Raw genomic sequence first — 18394 nt, 5'->3', positions numbered from 1 at the left:
ATTGGGCCCTGCTGGCCTCCCCACTGCCGGCCCCTCACGGCGTGGGGGAGGCTGCTCTGGATATGGCCTCTCATAGCCACCACCCCTGGCAGGGTTCCCAACCCGCAGGCCCTCCAGCTACTGGCTTGGGGTCCTGTGGGAGAAATGTGTCTTTATGGAGTCAGCCAGGGCAGGCAGTGTGGTGAAATGCCAAGGCCAGAGGCTCTGCCCCAGGCCTTCTGCCCAGGGCTGAGTCCTGCTGCCTCTGAATAGCACCCCTGTCTCCTCTGGTTGGAAAATCCCCTCTGGCTGTGGACGGGAGGGTACAGGCGGGGCCTCTCAGGGCTCCTCATTCTGGGAGGCGTTTCAGTGAGACTAGGTGGTGCCTGTGGCTTTCTCTTTGGAGTTCAAGCTCATTGACCTGGCTGCAAGCTCCTACACAATCTGGCCCCTGCTGACCACTCCTTTATTAAATCAGCAGACAGCTATTGAGCAGGGACTCTAGGTCAGCCCCGTTCCCAGCACTTAGGATTGAGCGGGGACACAGCAGTGCCGGCTCCTGGCCCCCACGGGCCTGACTCAGCTTGTCCTCCCCTGGTCGGCCGTGCTGCCTTCTGGTTCCTCTGCGCTCCAAGCTTCTGCCCATCTCCAGACCTTTGCCCCTGCTGTTTCCTCTGCTTGACAGTCCCTCCCACCTGCACATGCGCATGCACGCACACACACACACACGTGTCACACACTTGGCCGGGACGTATTGAGTGTATTTGGGTTGCAAGCAACAGAAACAGGCCCTGGCTAATTGAAGGGGGGATAACAAAGGATGACTCACTGAAGGGAGGTGGGGCACTCAGAAAGCCAGGGCAGGCCTAGGAGGCCTTAGGAAGAACTGGCACCGGGAAATGCTGAGAAGCTAGCAGGTGGAGGCTCTGTCCAGCACACCGCTGTGAGGGACAATCAGCGCTGCTTTTCCTTGTCCTTGGGGTCCTCCACTCAAGTGTCATGTTCTTGGGGCAGGGAGCATCCCTTTGGCCTCAGCCTGGCCTAGGAGGGCTGCAAACCTTGATCAACTGCCCCACCAAGATGACATCCCACCTGGGAGAGTTGGCCCCAAAGGCCAAACCCGCAGGGTCCAGCACACGGGCCGTGCCTGTTCATTCTTCACGTTTCGGGTTGGATGTCACTTCCTTCGGGAAGTCCTGAGATGAGTCAGATTGCCTTGGTTCAAATTGTATCAGTTTGGAATATTTTCATTTGCCAGGATAACAAGCCCAACTGAACAGTGGCTTACAGAGATGCCACCTATCAAGAAGCATGGAGCTAGGTGGTTCCAGGGCTGGTTTGTGGGCTCAGTAGCAGACAGAAGAATCTTCCATTCTTCACCCCACCATCCTGAGCATCACTTCCTCACATGACTTTATCCCAGGCAGGGAGGAGTGGTGCTGCTTTTCCCTTTTACCTGGGGGGGAAGATGTTTTTCAGAAGCCCCTGGTAGGCTTCCCCAGTCGTCTTATTAGCTGGTGCTTGGTCAGTTAGCAATTGAACTTGATTTCTAGTATTAGAGACACAATTATGGAAGCTGAGCCAAATTAGGGTTTGTGTTTCTGTAGCATGAGAGAAGTCCAGAGGTGGGTGGTTCAGAGCTGCTGGAGTGTCTCCTGATATCTTTGGGGACCACACTCTCTGTGTCTTTCTGCTCTGCCTTCCTTAGTGTGTTTCCAGCCATGAGGGCACCTTGTAGTCTAAAGTGACTGCAAGAGTTCCAGCCACCACATCTTTGTTCCAGGCGGGAGGAAGAGAAAGAAAGGGCCAGGGACAAGGGGTTTTTGCCAGAGCATCCCACCAGTGATTTCTGCTTATAGCTCATTGGCCACCTGTAGCTGCAAGGGAGGCTGGAGATGGATGAGGGCTTCTTGACCAGGGAGGAATGGGAAAGGTGTTGCTAGGCAACCAACATTGTCTGCCGCTTAAAATCTCCATTTTTTCTTTGCGGTATTGATCACAGTACAATAAAATAGTCTTGTTTGGAGTTTATTAATAATAATCACAAATGGGGCCAGGCGTGGTGGCTCATGCCTGTAATTCCAGCACTTTGGGAGGCCAAGACGGACGGATCACGAGGTCAGGAGATTGAGACCATCCTGGCTAACACAGTGAAACCCCGTCTCTACTAAAAATACAAAAAATTAGCCGGGCGTGGTGGCAGGTGCCTGTAGTCCCAGCTACTCGGGAGGCTGAGGCAGGAGAATGGCTTGAACCCAGGAGGTGGAGCTTGCAGTAAGCCGAGATCGTGCCACTGCACTCCAGCCTGGGCGATAGAGTGAGACTCTGTCTCAAAAAAATAATAATAATAATAAAAAATAATAATCACAAACCCGTTTTGGGGTTACTGCAGTAAACAAAACAGACAACCCCTGGCCCTCGTGGAGCCTACCTTCTTGGGTGGTTGTGGGCTTCTCGTTGGCCATGCATGGCCTCTCGGATGCTGCCACCTAACACCCTCCCCTTCTTGTTCCATTCCAGGGAGACTGCCAGACTCGGGAGGAGGCAGTGGCGCTCGGCGTGGGTCTGTGCAACAATGGCTTCATGCACCACGGTAACCACCCCCACCTGCAGCCCAGCCCCCGGGACCTTGCTCCCTGGAGCTGATGGTTTGGGGGAGTATGGGAGGACTGAAGCCAGGTCTGTGGCTCTCTAGACCCCCGGGGGTTTGGGGAGGCTCACGAATCCCACCTCCCTCCCCTTCCCGTTCTGAACCGATCGAGAAATGGCTTCTGGTGTCCACTGGGGACCAAAATGGCTGGAAGGACATGGGCTAGATTTGAAGTCCAACCCATGGGTTTCCTGTGCCCTTCTTCCTGGGGGGGATGTGGCCTTCCAGGGTAGGCAGCAAGGCCAGATGAGGCAGGCCTGGCCCGAAGGCCTCCGTGAGGAAGGAGGAGCTGTGCCCTGTGGGACAGTGGGCAGGTGGGTTGTGAATGTGAGAGGCAGGAAGCCCTTCCTGGGATGTCTGCCTCTTTCCCCGGCCTCCTCCCTCAGATAAGTGACTTTTCTTTCCATTGGGAGAGAGGCAGGTATTGGGGGGTGAGTTCTGAGATGTTCCTGAGGCAGGAAGATGGCAAGAAGGAGGACGAAGTGGCTCCATGGACACCGGTTTAAATTACAACAAAAGTTAGTGTTCAGTGTGCCTGGGCTCTTTCTAGACACTTCACATATATTTATTAGTTTAATACAGCAGCCCTTTGATGTGAGTATTAACATCAGCCCCATTTTATAGATGAGGGTATAGAAGCTCAGATAGTTAAGAAACTTTCTCAAGGTTACATGGCAAGTAGAAATCGGGATTAGAACGCAGGCCATCTGGAGCCAGGATTAGAACTCAGGCCGTCTGGAGTCGGGATTAGAATTCAGGCCATCTGGAGCCAGGATTAGAACTCAGGCCGTCTGGAGTCAGGATTAGAATTCAGGCCATCTGGGGCGGGATTAGAATTCAGGCCATCTGGAGCCAGGATTAGAACTCAGGCCGTCTGGAGTCGGGATTAGAATTCAGGCCGTCTGGAACCAGGATTAGAATTCAGGCCGTCTGGAGCCGGGATTAGAATTCAGGCCGTCTGGGGCGGGATTAGAATTCAGGCCATCTGGAGCCAGGATTATAATTCAGGCCGTCTGGGGCAGGATTAGAACTCAGGCCGTCTGGAGTTAGGATTATAATTCAGGCCGTCTGGGGCCGGGATTAGAATTCAGGCCGTCTGGGGTGGGATTAGAATTCAGGCCGTCTGGAGCCGGGATTAGAATTCAGGCCGTCTGGAGTCGGGATTAGAATTCAGGCCGTCTGGAGTCGGGATTAGAATTCAGGCCGTCTGGAGTCGGGATTAGAATTCAGGCCGTCTGGGGCGGGATTAGAATTCAGGCCGTCTGGAGTCAGGATTAGAATTCAGGCCGTCTGGAGTCGGGATTAGAATTCAGGCCGTCTGGGCCGGGATTAGAATTCAGGCCGTCTGGAGCCGGGATTAGAATTCAGGCCGTCTGGAGCCGGGATTAGAATTCAGGCCGTCTGGAGCCGGGATTAGAATTCAGGCCGTCTGGAGCCGGGATTAGAATTCAGGCCGTCTGGAGTCGGGATTAGAATTCAGGCCGTCTGGAGCTGGGATTAGAACCCAGATCGTGCGGGTTTAGAGGCTGCACACTCAACTACTGTGCTATGTAGCCTCTCCCCTTGAAGGTCCTGGGGGATCCCTGAGTTTCCTGTCCTTTCAACAGGACAGGTAAACCTTTAACCCCCGCCAAGGTGCCATTTTCCTGTTTCTAGAACATTCCTCAGAGCCTTTGCACTTGCAGTTTCCCTTGCCAGGGTGCCCTGCCTGCCTCATCCCTGCAGGTAACTCAGTGTTTCTGCTCAGTTGACCCCTCCCCAGTGAGGGCCTCCCCACAACCCCAGCTAAAATAGCTCCTCCCCGTCATCACTCTGCTCCTAGCTCGGATTCTCTCTCTTTTTTTTTTTTTTCAGACGGAGTCTTGCTCTGTCGCCCAGGCTGGAGTGCAGTGGCAGGATCTCGGCTCACTGCAAGCTCCACCTCCTGGGTTCACGCCATTCTCCTGCCTCAGCCTCCCGAGTAGCTGGGACCGCAGGCACCCGCCACCACACCCGGCTAATTTTTTGTATTTTTTAGTAGAGATGGCATTTCACCGTGTTAGCCAGGATGGTCTTGATCTCCTGACCTCGTGATCTGCCCGCCTTGGCTTCCCAAAGTGCTGGGATTACAGGCGTGAGCCACCGCGCCCGACCAGATTCTCTTTTTTTTAAGGGCCTGTTCTCTCCCTGTTAGGCAGATCCCATCACTCCTTTCTGTCTTTGTTCATTCTGACATCACGTGTGGTGTCTTTGGTGTTCCAGGCACCGTGCCAGGTTCTGGGAGCAGAGTGTGATGACCAGGACAGATAACAGTCCCGTGTGTGTGTGTGTGTGTGCGCGCACTCACACTTGTATGTGTGTGCACACATGTGCATGTGGTGTGTGCAGGGGAAGGAAACAGGGATGCCAGCGAGGAGGTGGTCATGATAGTCCAGGGGAAGGAGGATATGGCTGGGACCTGGTGGTTGCAAGGGGTTAGAAGTGGTCAGATTCAGAAAACCCTGAGCCACAAGAAGGCCTTTTGGCTGTTTCTCCTTTCTGATATTGGCTTTTTTAGTTCTAACTCAGAGATCTGCAAACTCCGTCACAGCTGCTTAACTCTTAACTCTTCCTTTGTAGCACAAAAGCAGCTATAGAGAGTATGTAAACAAATGGGCATGGTTGTGTGCCAATAAAACTTTATTTAGAAAAGCAGGTGGTGAGCCATAGTTTGTTTTTTGAGACGAAGTCTCACTCTTGTCACCCAGGCTGGAGTGCAATGGTGTGATCTCGGCTCACCACAACCTCCGCCTCCCAGGTTCAAGTGATTCTCCTGCCTCAGCCTCCTGAGTAGCTAGGATTACAGGCATGCGCCACCACACCCAGCCGGGCCATAGTTTGTTGAGCCCTGGTCGGCCTGCTGGATTTGCGGTTCCCTTGGCAGAGTGAGCCACGTGCTGGAGACCTGAGAGGCCTTTGGATCTATCCCCTGCCTTGTGGCCAGCAGGTCCCTGACTCAGCTGACTCCCAATAGGCCCATATGCCTCTCTGGGCCTCAGTTTCTCCAGTTTTCCATTGGAGGCCTTGCATTCCCCTCCTGTGCGCTCAGCATGCCCAGAGTTCTGTGGGAATAGGACTCACTCTTTAGCTTCCAGTTTCCCCAGCTGAGGTGGGCAGGTAAGGGCCAGTCTGGACAGCTGAGGGCATTTTCATGTGTCTACCTCATCTCACCAAAGTCCTTCATTCCCAGAAGCTGCTCTGTTTGCCTCGGGGCCCTCTGACAGCCCCGAGCCTCCCGCCAGTCAGCTGGGCACAACCTCTCATTTGTGGGTGAGGGTAATTAGGGGTCCTCCCCAGCTGCTATTCCGGGAAGGCTGCTGGCTGTGGACATTCTGCTGGGTGGTGACTCCCAGGCAATCCTGATGTCCTCAAGGGCTCTCAGGGAGAGAAATTGCAGGGCGTGACCCTGCTCCTCTGTTCCCTGCCACGAACTCAAAAATAGGCTAAAATAGGAAAGGGCCAATTCCAGGATTGTGGCTGCAGCAAAATACAGGGTGAGGTGCAGGATGGGCGATTGGGAGGGGCCTCTGTGGCACCTTTTGAGGCGCCTCGAACTGGGGCCAAACTGAGCCTGCAGACACTAAGGTATTCCCACCTTAGGGCTGACCAGGGGTCCGGCCCTCTTGCTTTAGGCACATATGGGGAAACTGAGGCTTGCCATTTAATCCCCACAGCCACCCCAGCATGTTGGTCCTGTTGTTATTCTTGTAGACAAGGAAACTGAGGCTCAGAGAGGCTAAAGGGCATGAAGTCAGGAAGGGGCTGAGCAGGGATTTGAACCCAGATCTGAGATTATCCTATAAAGCCGGACCAGCAGCCTCGAGGGAAAGGTATTGAGGTTGGTAGCTCGCTTGGCTGAGCTCGTGGACTTGAGGGATTCCACGCTGTTTTCCACAAATATTTTGGCCAATATGCAACATTGCAATTCTTCCTCCCACTCCTGGAATCTTCTAACTTAATGTTTATAGTGGAGTCGAAGCCAGCGGCCCCCTGGTGCCTGGCTCCCCAGCTCTGGGGAAAGTGGCAATTTGTGTGTCTGTTTTCTCAAAAAGGTAACAGGGGTGGCCTGAGAAAGGGGCTCACAAACAGGTAGAGTTCCAGGTGAAATGTCCTATAAAACTAAGGAGAAAGAAAGAAATGCCCCCGGCTGCTTTCCACTGAGTCACCACATCCAGAAAAAGCCTCTGTCTTCAGGGACGAGGGGGATGTCTTGTGGCTAAGGCAGCTGGTTTCCCTTGTTTCAGGCACCCACTGGCGTCCGACAGCTGCCTTTACCTCTCCGAGCCTTGATTTCCACCTTTGTCCACTGTTTATACTCAGCCCTGCCTCATCTAACAGGCCTGCCTGGACAGTGTGGGGAGAGGAGGAGGAGAGGAAGGAGGCTCGATGAGGGCCCTTCTGCTGCCTGCTGGCTGCTGGCTGTGTGACCTAGGGGCCTGAGTCTTAGTCTCCCCGTCTATGAAAGGGGCACAGCAAATCCTTATCCAAGGAGCAGATGAACTTAGCATGCCTCCCCAGTGTGCCTGGCACTGGGAGGTGCCCAGTTAAGTTGTAAGTTACAGGGATCAGATCACCAATTGGTTGATACTGGTTATTTTTATTCATTTTCCTGGCTTGTCCTAGAAAGGGGTCAGTGTGTGTGTGTGTGTGTATATATATATATACACACACACACACACATTATATATATTATATATGTTATATACATACTATATATTATATTATATATATGTGTGTGTATATATATATATATATATATATATTTTTTTTTTTTTTTTTTTTTTTTTTGAGATGGAGTTTTGCTCTTGTTGCCCATGCTGGAGTGCAATGGCGTGATCTCAGCTCACTGCAACCTCCACCTCCCGGGTTCAAGCAGTTCTCCTGCCTCAGCCTTGCGAGTAGCTGGGATTACAGGCATGCGCCACCATGCCCAGCTAATTTTGTATTTTTAGTGGAGACAGGGTTTCTCCATGTTGTGTCAGGCTGGTCTGGGACTCCCCACCTTGGGTAATCTGCCTGCCTCGACCTCTCAAAGTGCTGGGATTACAGGCGGAGCCACCGCCTCTGGCCGGCGTCAGTATATTTTTTTATGTAAAGGGCCACTTAGTAACAATTTAGGCTTTGTGGGCCGTACAGCTTGTCACAGTATCCAACTTTGTCCTTGTGGCTCAAAAGCAGCCACAGATAATACAAGTACAAATACAAATGGCCGTAGCTGTGTGCCAATAAAACTTTATTCATAAGGTCAGGTAGTGGAGCAGATTTGGCCTGCGGGGACTGAGTTTGCCAACTTTTGGTCTAAAGTGTCTCAGCATCATTTCCTTCTGAGAGGTCTGAGCGCCTTTTCACAAATTACTGCTCATTGGAGTTTGCTTATGTTAATTGACTGTTCATATCCTTTGCCCATTTATCTGTGAGCTTCTGAGCTTTTTCTAGTTGATTTGTTAGAGGTTTTTATATTCTAGATATTTATTCCTGTTGGTTTTGGACACTATAGTTACCTTCACATCTGCCATCTACCTATGGAGTTGTTATCGAATGGAGGTCCTTAATTTTAGTCTAGTACAAGAGGGTCTTATACACAGACTCCTTTTCTTCTCTAGGACAAAGATGTCATCCTATATTTAGTTTTGTTAGCTTTGGTTTTACTGTTCATACGTAGGTCTTTAATCCATTAGCTTATTGTTGCATATGGTGTGAGGTAGGGATTCAATTTTTTTCCCCCCTGGGCAAGTCAGTTTTCCATGCACCATCTGCAGAATACTCTATGATCATAAATCATCATCATAGACTAAGTTCCTGCAAACACTTAGTCCTCTTATGTGACTTCTATTCCCTTCTGCTGGTTATTGATCTGTTTCTACTGCATTTCCACACTGTGTGTTACTATGGCTTTGTAAAATATTAATGTCTTTTTATAGCAGGTGAGGCAAGTTCAGACTTTTCAAGAGAAGTCAGAAAGCCAGATCGCTTTGTGAAATATCCTAATATGTTAGTGTTGGCATATGATTCCATTTTAATAGAATAGTGTTTGCCAAACCAAACGTGTCCATGGCCTAGTTCCAGCCTGTGCCTGCCAGTTGGCAAACATGGCTGAAACTTTCCCTGTGAATCTGACCACTGAGTGCACATCTGTGGATCTGCAGTGCTGGAGAAGAGCGAGTTCAGGGATGAGTCCCAGTACTTCCGCTTTCATGCTGACGAGGAGATGGAGGGGACCAGCAGCAAGAACAAACAGCTTCGCAACGACTTCAAGCTGGTGGAGAACATTCTGGCCAAGCGCCTGCTGGTAGGAGCACAGCTGAGCAGCTGTCCCTTCCTTGCCAGAGCCCCCTGCAGGCATGGGAGCTGGGCGACCTTCTGGTTATGCACAGGGAAGGGGGCTCAGCTTGGAGTACCAGAATAGGTGGATTCTAGGTGGTAGGGGGCAACTCTGCCAAGAAGCCAGGCTGCATCACTGGCTGAGACTACCCTCCTAACAAAAGAGATTGGGCTTGCAGGTCTCCCTTTCTGTTCCCTTGCCTCTCCTGTCCCCTCCCCGTACACTGTATAGAGAGGTTGGCCTCCTGAAGCAACTCATCCTGCATACCCCACAGCAGCCCCCATCTTAACGCGTGGCCTGCAGCAGGCAGTCAAGACAGAGGCTCAGAGGTTAGGTTTCTGGTCACTGCCAGGGTTGGAGCTGAAGCCTGACTCATATGAAGACGGCTCCATTAACTTCTCTCCCATAGTACTGCAGGGACTGCTGTTCCCTCTGATTTCATGCCCCTCACTGTAAAGTCCCCCAATGCTTCCCGTCACACTTAGGATAAAATTAAACCTCTCACTCCCCTCCCCTCCCCTTCTCTCTTTCCTCTTTCCCTCCCTTCCTCCTTCCTTCCTCTCTCTTCTTTCTTTTCTCTTTTCTTGTTTTCTTTTCTTCTTTCTCTCTCTCTCTCGTGCCCGTCCTTCCTTCCTTCCTTCCTTCCTTCCTTTTCTTTCTCTCCTCCCCTTTCTTTCTTCCCTCCCCTCCCCTCCATTCCCCTCTCTCCCCTCCCTTCCCCTTTCTCCCCTCCCCTCTCTCCTCTCTCCTCTCCTCTGCCTCCCCAGTGGCTAGGACAACAGACCTGCGCCACCACACCCAGCTAATTTTTGTATTTTTTATAAAGACAGGGTTTTGCTATGTTGCCCAGGCTGGTCTTGAACTCCTGGGATCAAGCGATCAACCCGTCTCGGCCTCCCAAAGTGCTGGGATTACAAGCGTGAGCCATTGCGCCTGACCTCCTGATCTCTTTTCTTATCCTCCAGTGCCTTGGGGCCTCCCTCAGGACCTTTGTACGTGCTGTGTCTGCTGCCTGGAGCATGTTCCTCCACTCTTTATGAAGTTTTGTTTTTCATTTCGTTCAGGCCTCAGCTCCGATAGCACCTTCTCTGCCCCCTTGCCGTGCCCTATCCCATTAAGTGCTTTAATTCCAACTACGTACACTCCCTGCATCACATCCTGTATTTCTTTTGTTTATTTGTTTATAGTTGGCCTCCCGCACTAAGCAGGGCTGGGCTTGTTTGTCTTGTTCTAGATGGTGTCTCCAGCACCCATGAGAACTGCCTGGCCCGTGTGATGGGCAGCATCTCAATCAATGTCTGTTGACTGAATGAGTGCCTTTCCCTGTATCCCCCGCACTGGGGAACCCCCAGACCTGTTTCTAGCATGCCTGCCATCCTGCCCTGGGGTGGGACCGCTCCTCCCTAAACTCCCTGACTCCACATTCTTGGTGGCTGGACACCTTTGGATCCGTGTGATTCGTTAAGCCAGTGGCAGGCACAGAGTGAGCACTGGCTCTGCCAGGTGCTGTTTGCGTTTTGCTCTGTCTCGCCCACCTGGATCTGGCCACTTCCCTACTAGACCTGGGACGAGGTCATGGTCCTGTGGGGGCCACGGTGGGGCTGGCCGTAGGCCCACCTCGCTCCCTGACCGGGTTCCTTCTGCCCTGGGCCCCCAGATCCTGCCCCAGGAGGAGGACTATGGCTTTGACATCGAGGAGAAGAACAAGGCTGTGGTGGTGAAGTCCGTCCAGAGGGGCTCGCTGGCTGAGGTGAGGCCCTCGGGGGAGCTGGCAGGGACCGTGTGCAGGTGGCAGAGCGGGGTGTCTCTCTTCACCCTCCTTGAGGCAGCCCAGCCCAGGAGATTCTGGAATGATCGCTGACTCCTCTTCTCTCATTGCTCACGTGGAGAAACTGAGTCCAGGACCCACTGTCTGCAGTGGCTACAGTAGCTGGGAGTGAGTGCAGAGTCCCGGGGCTGTGCTCCTGGTGTGTTCCACCACTGCCCTCTGCTGGACATTGTGGGGAGGTACAGGAAAAAAGCAGGTGTCTCAGTTTTCTGCAACCAGTCACAGTGGCTTGAATAAGATAAGCTCATTGCTGTCTGATGCAAAGCCTACAGGAGGATAGGTTAGGAGAGTGAGGGTGTGGCTGGCCGAGGATTCAGCCCTGGGGCCTTCCGGCTTTGCCTGGGGCGTGTGCAGGTGGGTGGGGGAGATGCACCTGCCGTGCTGGCTGGAGCCCAGCTTGCCCCTGTGGCAATTAGGAATGCTTTGGGCTGCAAGGAGCGACATACCCATGGCCGGAGCGGCTAGGTTGACCTTGCCAGTGATGTGAGCGGTTGGAAGGAGGCAGTTGTGAATCTTGGTTCGGGTCAGCAGGTCTTCATCTTTCTTCGCCAGGCCCTAACAGACATAAGATGGCCACCCCGGTGTGACCCTCGTGTCCCCACACAACAGGGTCAGGCCCCAGCAGAGTTTCCCCTCAGGAGGAATACCTTTCCCAGCTGCCCTCCCATGAGCTTCCCTTTGTGGCTCATGAGGCAGAACCAGGTCCCTTGTGCCCCTCAACTGCTTACCACAGACAGCACGCAGTCACCCAGTCCTGCTGGATCCCTTGGGCCAGCACCCTTCTGCTGAACACATTTGAGCTTCCTTGGTGAGGAGGGAAGGAGCTTAGTAACTGGTGTGCACGTCTGTCCTCTGCCGTCCCTACCCAGGTGGCTGGCCTGCAGGTGGGGAGGAAGATCTACTCCATCAATGAGGACCTGGTGTTCCTGCGGCCGTTTTCAGAGGTGGAGTCCATCCTCAACCAGTCCTTCTGCTCCCGCCGCCCTCTGCGCCTCCTGGTGGCCACGAAGGCCAAAGAGTGAGTGTCCCAGGGCGGGGTGTCCGGCAGCCCTCCCTCTCAGGCTGAGTGGTGGCTGAGGGCTGGGGTGGCATGAACTGTCCTGGTCCCCCGTGGCTGGGACCCATTGTTGGAGTCACACAACACAAGCTGGACCTTCATTAATTCGGCAGATGTTTACAGAGTGCCACTCTGTGCTTGGTGGCAGTTTGGGCCCTGGGAATCCAGCCACGTGGGGATGCATGCGGTTCCTGCCATTCATAGATCTCAGATCTAGTTGGGGGAGGAGGCAGGAGACAGACAATGTGCAGATACAGAAGTAAGACACTGAGCCTGTGCTGGTGAGCGTGGCACAGATAAGTTTCTATAAACCCGGGAAAGGGGCCAGAGTGTGCAGAGGGATGGCTGTCAGGGAGACGTCACTGCGAGTCGGGGTGAAGACCCGAAGCAGATGAGGGGGGAGTCAAGGGGATTTCTGGAGGAAGAGGGCTCCAGGCAGGGGAAGCAGCTAGGGCAGAGGCCCTGAAGTGGGACCGTGTCTGGCGCATTGGAAGAGCAGAAGGAAGCTGATGGGGCTGGAGCAGTGAGTGAGAGGGAGGGCTGGGTAGTGAGGTCTGTAGGGTAACGGGGTCCAGCCCTGGAGGCCCCTGGCAAGGACCCATGGGGAGCCACTGGAAGCTTCTGATCGAAGTCCTGTGGCTGCAAGTGGAGCTCAGATTGTCAGGGGCAAAGGTGGCTCTCGGGGGAGCTGAGGAGGTGGTGGCTCAGCAGAGTGCGAGAGCAGGGGTGGGAGGAGCAGACCCGTGCTAGGGGTAGGTACCGGGGAGCAAAGCATTTTGTCTTTGAAAAATTATGCATCTGGTTTTTCACTTTTCCCTTTTATTTAACACAGATCTTCTCTTGACAGGAGGGGTGGAAAGTTTTAAATATGATTATTTCAGTAAAAAGGCGAGCTGACTTAGGGAAAATGTGGTTGATCGATGGGTTGGTATGTGGAAGTGGCAGAAAGCACCAAGGTGGAATGTGTCTGCTGAAAGCTGTGGAAACACCTGGTTTGAGAGCAGGCTCCCAGCTCGGCTTTATCTGCAGGGGGGAATGGGAGGGACAATTGTGCAGCATAGGGTTGGAGACCTGCCTTAGACGGGGATGTGGGCAGGGTACTGATGCTCCAGGAGCAGTGACACCCATTGCCCTCCCTGGCAGGTGCTGCCTCTCTGCTTTGGGGATCGACCCACAGAATGGCCCAGACCTGCCTTCCTAGGGGACTTGTGTGGGTGTTTTTCTAGGGTCAGCACCGAGATGTACCAGCAGATCACTTCTCACCCTCCCACCTGCGATTGTTAAACTATTGACTGGTTGGAGTGCTGGTCTCACCTCCAAGGGTCTTAGGACAGGAGAATGATGGAGGTGTGGGAGGATGGTCTGGAATTTCTGTTCGAGGACAGAAGCTCCAAGGGCAGGCCAGTGGGTTGTGCTTAATCAAAGATCCTGGTGGCATGGGCTCTGCCTGATTGACATTTCTCTCTGTATTTGGGAGCTGGAAAGCCTGGTGGTGCTACTACTATTTTGGGCTGAATTTTCCCAGTGTTTCCAAGGCAGAAAGTCTCTGGGTTGGCACCGGGGTTATTGAGAGTGATGCTGGTTTTCCTCATGGCCTTTTTCCCTGCCTCTTCTACCTGGTGCAGGATCATCAAAATCCCCGACCAGCCGGACACACTGTGCTTCCAGATTCGTGGAGCTGCCCCACCGTACGTCTATGCTGTGGGGAGAGGTGAGTGGGAGCCTTGGGAGAGAGGGGAAAGGTGCAGAAGATGGTGGATCTGTCTGTGTGGCAGGAGTTCAGAGCCTTCTGAACTCTAGGCTTCTGCCAGACAATGTACCATCAGCACTTATTTTCTTTGCCTGATGCCAAGACTTGCAAACACAAATGCCTGTTGGGGTCAGGCAGGCTACAAGTGGGTAGCCATCCCAGTGGAAGACAGTGGGTAGTGGTGAGGACTATGGCAAGGTGAAAAAATACATGTTCACTCTGGAAGGAGCAGTGGCTCCTCAGCTGGAGCTCCTTATTGCCAGACAGGAATGTGGGTCCACTCTCACCAGACTTGATTTTCTAAGAGAAGCCACCAATGCAAATTTGGGGGCTCTGCCGCAATACTTCTATGGCCGGATCCAGCCGAAAGGCCACCAGTTCAAGACCTCTGCTTTCTGCATTGCCTATTCCTTGTGTGCTATTAAAGGCGTCACTATGTCTTGGAGATGGAACCAAGTAGGTCTATGATACTGGGCCCCCAAACTTTTTTTGCATCTAAGTGCCCCTCCCTTTAAAGTTTAAACATAAATTTTTCACTTGTGTGGTCATAGTTGTGTGTTTACTAGGTGTTCATTAAGAAAACGCATACCATGACAGAAGGTTACTGAGAATTTGATAATATTTTAAAGTAGGTTTTCATTTTGTCCTAAAGCAGTGATTCTCACCTTGGGACAACTTAGCCTCCTCTCCAGAGGACATCGGCCCTGCCCGGAGACATTTTTGTTTGTCGTAACTGGGGAGGGGGTGTTTCTGGCGGTTAGTGGGTAGACCAGGGATCCTGCTAAACGTGCTGCAGTGCACAGGACAGCCCCAGAGAACCACACAGAATTATCTGGCCCAAAATGTCAGCAGTGCCTTGGTGAGAAATCCTGCCTCAGAACATCTGCAGAGATACTGATAATGGGTAGTAATAGGTGTTCATAGGCAAAGACGGTAAAAAGAATAAACCAGCTGCTATTCCTTGAGCACTTACCGAGTGCCAGGCACGATGCTAAATGCTGCACACGTGTTAGCTCGTCGGATCTCCCCGCGACCCTCAGCGTAGGGATTATGAGCGTTCCCATTTCACAGATGAGGAAGCCAGCCTCCAGAGAGTGAAGGGACTTGCCGAAGGTTCCAGGGTCGGTCTATGGCAGAGCCAGGGTTTGAAGCCATGCAAGTCCCCAGGGGCTGTACTTGGCACCACCACACCATTCAGGCCTGGTATTGCCCCATGTCTGGGCAAAGCTTGACATTTGTTTGCATTTCCAGACCTTTCACATGAACTACAAAAAAAACCCTGGGTTCAAGACCTACGGTTTGGGGATTGTGGAATAGCTGAAAAACCTTGCCCTTGGAGTCTCATAGGCCTGGTTGGAATCCTGGCTTCTGGCCATTCGGCCTAGAGAGCATGGCTTTGCCTCTCTGAGCCCATCACGCTTTCTGCCAAATGCGGCCCAGTAGCACAAGGCGGCTGCAGGACTTTAAAGGAGACGAGGTTCTAGAGTGAAACGGGCCTGAATCGGATCCCGTTTGCCTTGCTGCGTGACCTTGGGCCAGCTACTACTTCTCTGAACCTTAGTTTCTTCTGCAAAATGGGAACATCAATCCATTCTTTGCACTGGAGTGTCAGAGGGCGGCTCTGGGGTGGGAGGGGTGGAGGTGGAGTCCTTGCGCGTGTCTGGGGTTGCAGTGGTGGGTGGTGGGGGACAGTGTTCAGCGGGCTGCTTGTACTTGCCTGGCATCCAGCCTCATGTGCTCCTGTTCCCCTTAGGCTCTGAGGCCATGGCTGCAGGGCTCTGTGCTGGTCAGTGCATTCTGAAGGTCAATGGCAGCAACGTGATGAACGATGGTGCCCCTGAGGTCCTGGAGCACTTCCAGGCATTCCGGAGTCGGCGCGAAGAGGCCCTGGTAAGTTTACTGGAAACCGGGGCCGTCAAAGAAGTCCTGCTGAGTGGGGGTGGGTGGCTGAGGGCTGTCCTCTCTTTAGAGAAAAGCCTGCATGTACCACTGGTTGTGAGTAGGGTGGAGCTGCTGACCCAACAAGAGGGAGCTGGGCCTGAGCTTTGTGCTCCCGCTGCATCCTTAAACCAGAGTTGCTGAGCCATGATACCCGGGGGTCTCGGTTTTCACAGCTGTGAAATGGGTGTGACCAGACCCTCTCTCCTCACCACATAGGCATGTTGGGCACATAGTCAAGTGGGTTGGGAAAGTGGATACTCCATTTGGTTGGGGGCCAGGGTTCTGGTGGAGGGCGAGATTCCCTCATTGATTGATTCACTGGTTCACTCAGTGTGTGTGTGTTGGGCACCTGCTGTGCACCAGGCATGTTTGTAGACCCTGGGGACACAGGAGAGACGTGTCTGCACCCATGTCCCTGCCTCACATTTTCACATCCCCTGGCTTCTGTATGGAGCATAGACTGTGCACGGTGAGGGCTGAGTGTGACTGGTGGTCAGTGAGTTTCCAGAGCTCTGGAACCCAGGGGCAGTTCACACCTCGGCCCTGTCCCCTCCTCCCTACCTGCCGGCACCATGGCTGTCCCCTTACTCTGGCTTCTGGCAGGGCCTGTACCAGTGGATCTACCACACCCATGAGGATGCCCAGGAAGCACGAGCCAGTCAGGAGGCCTCCACTGAGGACCCCAGTGGCGAGCAGGCCCAGGAGGAAGACCAGGCTGATTCAGGTAATAGACGGGGCATGGCATGACAGGAGCTTCCAGAGGGACTGAGACTCCGGAGGGGCTGGGTCCTCTCCTGTTGTCCCCTCCCCTCCCCTCCTCCCAGCCAGTCCACCTCCATGCCAGCAGGTTTGTTTTTTTTTTCCTTTTTGGAGACAGGTTCTGGCTCTGTCACCCAGGCTGGAGTGTAGTGTTGTGACCACAGCTCACTGCAGCCCCAACCTCCCTGGTTCAAGTGATCCACCTCAGCCTCCGGAGTAGCCAGGATCACAAGCGTGTACCACCACACCTGGCTAATTTTTTAAATTTTAGAGTTTTTTTTTTAGAGATGAGGTCTCCCTATGTTGCCCAGGCTGGTCTCTTAACTCCTGGGCTGAAGCAATCTTCTTGCCTCGGCCTCGCAGAGTGCTGGGATTACAGGTGTGCACCACTGCGCACGGCCGCGATGCCCACGATGTTATGTCAGTTTCTGATGGCTGCTATAGCAAAGTGCCCCAAACCCAGCAGCTTAAACAACACACAGTTACTACTTAAATTTTGGAGGTCAGAAGTCCGAGTCCCACTGGGCTGAAATCATGGTGTCCACAGGGCTGTGGTCCTCCTTGGGCTCTCGGGGAGAATCTGTTTCCTTGCCCGTTTCAGCTCCCTGGTCCAAGCCACTATCATTTCTTACCAGGACGGTGGCAGTAGCCTGCTCATGGCTCTCCCTGTTCTGACTTCCTCTCCTCCAAGGGGCTATTCCCCCAGATGAGAAGAGAACCTTCCGATGGCTCCCTCTGTCCTCAGGGCCAGGCCTTGGATGGCTTGTGTGACCTTGTCCAGACTGGCTCTCCAACACCTTCCATCACTTCCCCACTCGCCTCTCTACTCTGGCGGAATGTACTCCTGCCCTGGGGCCTTTGCACTTGCTGTTCCCACTGCCTGGAAGGCTTCCTCCAGAATCCTCCTCGCCTCGCCTTCCTCCCTCCCTCTGATCTCTGCTCAGATGTCACCTCTTTTGGCTTCCAGCCTTCCCACTGCTGTCCCTGGGTCCCCGGCTGAGCCTGTGTGAGGACAGCCCCATGGTCACCCTGACTGTGGACAACGTGCACCTGGAACACGGCGTGGTGTATGAGTATGTGAGCACGGCAGGCGTCAGGTGCCATGTGCTGGAGAAGATCGTGGAGCCCCGCGGCTGCTTCGGCCTCACCGCCAAGGTCTCCTTGGGCACTGCCTGGCCCTGCCCTACCCTGGGGGATTGAAGCCAGTTTCTCTTATCAAAGGTTGGGAGAAGGAGTTGGGTGGGACACCCGAATCCCATTTCCTCAGGCTTAGCCTGGAGTCCTGAATTCTGGTCCTTGTCCCACCACTAGGTAGCGTGGGACTGTGCAGAGTGGCTTGTCCCTTTAGCCTCAGTTTACTCCCGTGCAATATGGGCCAGCAACACACCTGACTTCCCGGGGGGTATTACGAGTAGTACAGGAGTCACTGTGGGTGAACCGCTTAAAATCTTCCCGGCACACAGGGAATGCTCAGTAGCTGTTGACATTTCTGCAGATCCTCGAGGCCTTTGCTGCCAATGACAGCGTCTTCGTGGAGAACTGCAGGCGGCTCATGGCCCTGAGCAGCGCCATCGTGACCATGCCCCACTTTGAGTTCCGCAACATCTGTGACACCAAGCTGGAGAGCATTGGCCAGAGGATTGCCTGCTACCAGGAGGTGCCTGCGTGCTCCCTCCGGGGTCTCTGCCACAGGTCCCAGACATAGCATCTCAGCCTGGGATATTTGGGTTGTAAATTACAAAGCCCAACCCAACTCAGCTGAAACAAACAGGAGAATGTATGGTGTGTATTACTGAAAAGGACGGAGGTGAACTTATCACATCATAGCAGTGCGGCCTCTCCGCATCTCCTGGCTTCGTTTTCCTTAGCGCTGGGTTCACTCTCAGGCAAACCCTTCTCATGTGGTGGGGACACGTTGGCCCTTGATAGCTCTAGCCTCAGCAAGCCCAGGAGAAAATTAACTCCAAGGGAGTTCTGGTTGGCTTGGCTTAGGTCACTTGCCTCACCTGGTTCCAATCGCCATAGGGATGGAGAGGCACGTTGACCCTGAACCTCATGAACTGAGGGTGGGGCAGAGACAATGCCTCAAG

General features: G+C 53.4%; 1 protein-coding gene across 6 annotated transcripts in view; it reads left to right on the top strand.

Annotated features, from left to right (window-relative positions):
* Positions 1 to 18394, top strand: part of PREX1 (phosphatidylinositol-3,4,5-trisphosphate dependent Rac exchange factor 1) — a 263934-nt gene that overhangs the window by 219331 nt on the left and 26209 nt on the right. For 5 of the 6 annotated variants that reach the window (XM_047440333.1, NM_020820.4, XM_047440332.1 and 2 more), the window contains 9 exons: positions 2500 to 2572; positions 8794 to 8936; positions 10627 to 10719; positions 11667 to 11815; positions 13480 to 13565; positions 15358 to 15494; positions 16149 to 16269; positions 17272 to 17459; positions 17800 to 17961. In XM_047440333.1, the coding sequence (XP_047296289.1) occupies positions 2500 to 2572; positions 8794 to 8936; positions 10627 to 10719; positions 11667 to 11815; positions 13480 to 13565; positions 15358 to 15494; positions 16149 to 16269; positions 17272 to 17459; positions 17800 to 17961 (1152 nt within the window). The remainder of the gene's footprint in view (positions 1 to 2499; positions 2573 to 8793; positions 8937 to 10626; positions 10720 to 11666; positions 11816 to 13479; positions 13566 to 15357; positions 15495 to 16148; positions 16270 to 17271; positions 17460 to 17799; positions 17962 to 18394) is intronic. The other variant, XM_047440334.1, reaches the window with a different exon arrangement.

This window comes from Homo sapiens, chromosome 20 (assembly GCF_000001405.40).
Source record: "Homo sapiens chromosome 20, GRCh38.p14 Primary Assembly".
Taxonomy (NCBI): domain Eukaryota; kingdom Metazoa; phylum Chordata; class Mammalia; order Primates; family Hominidae; genus Homo; species Homo sapiens.
The sequence above is the reverse complement of the archived record's forward strand: the minus strand, read 5'-3'. Positions and strand labels throughout refer to the sequence as shown.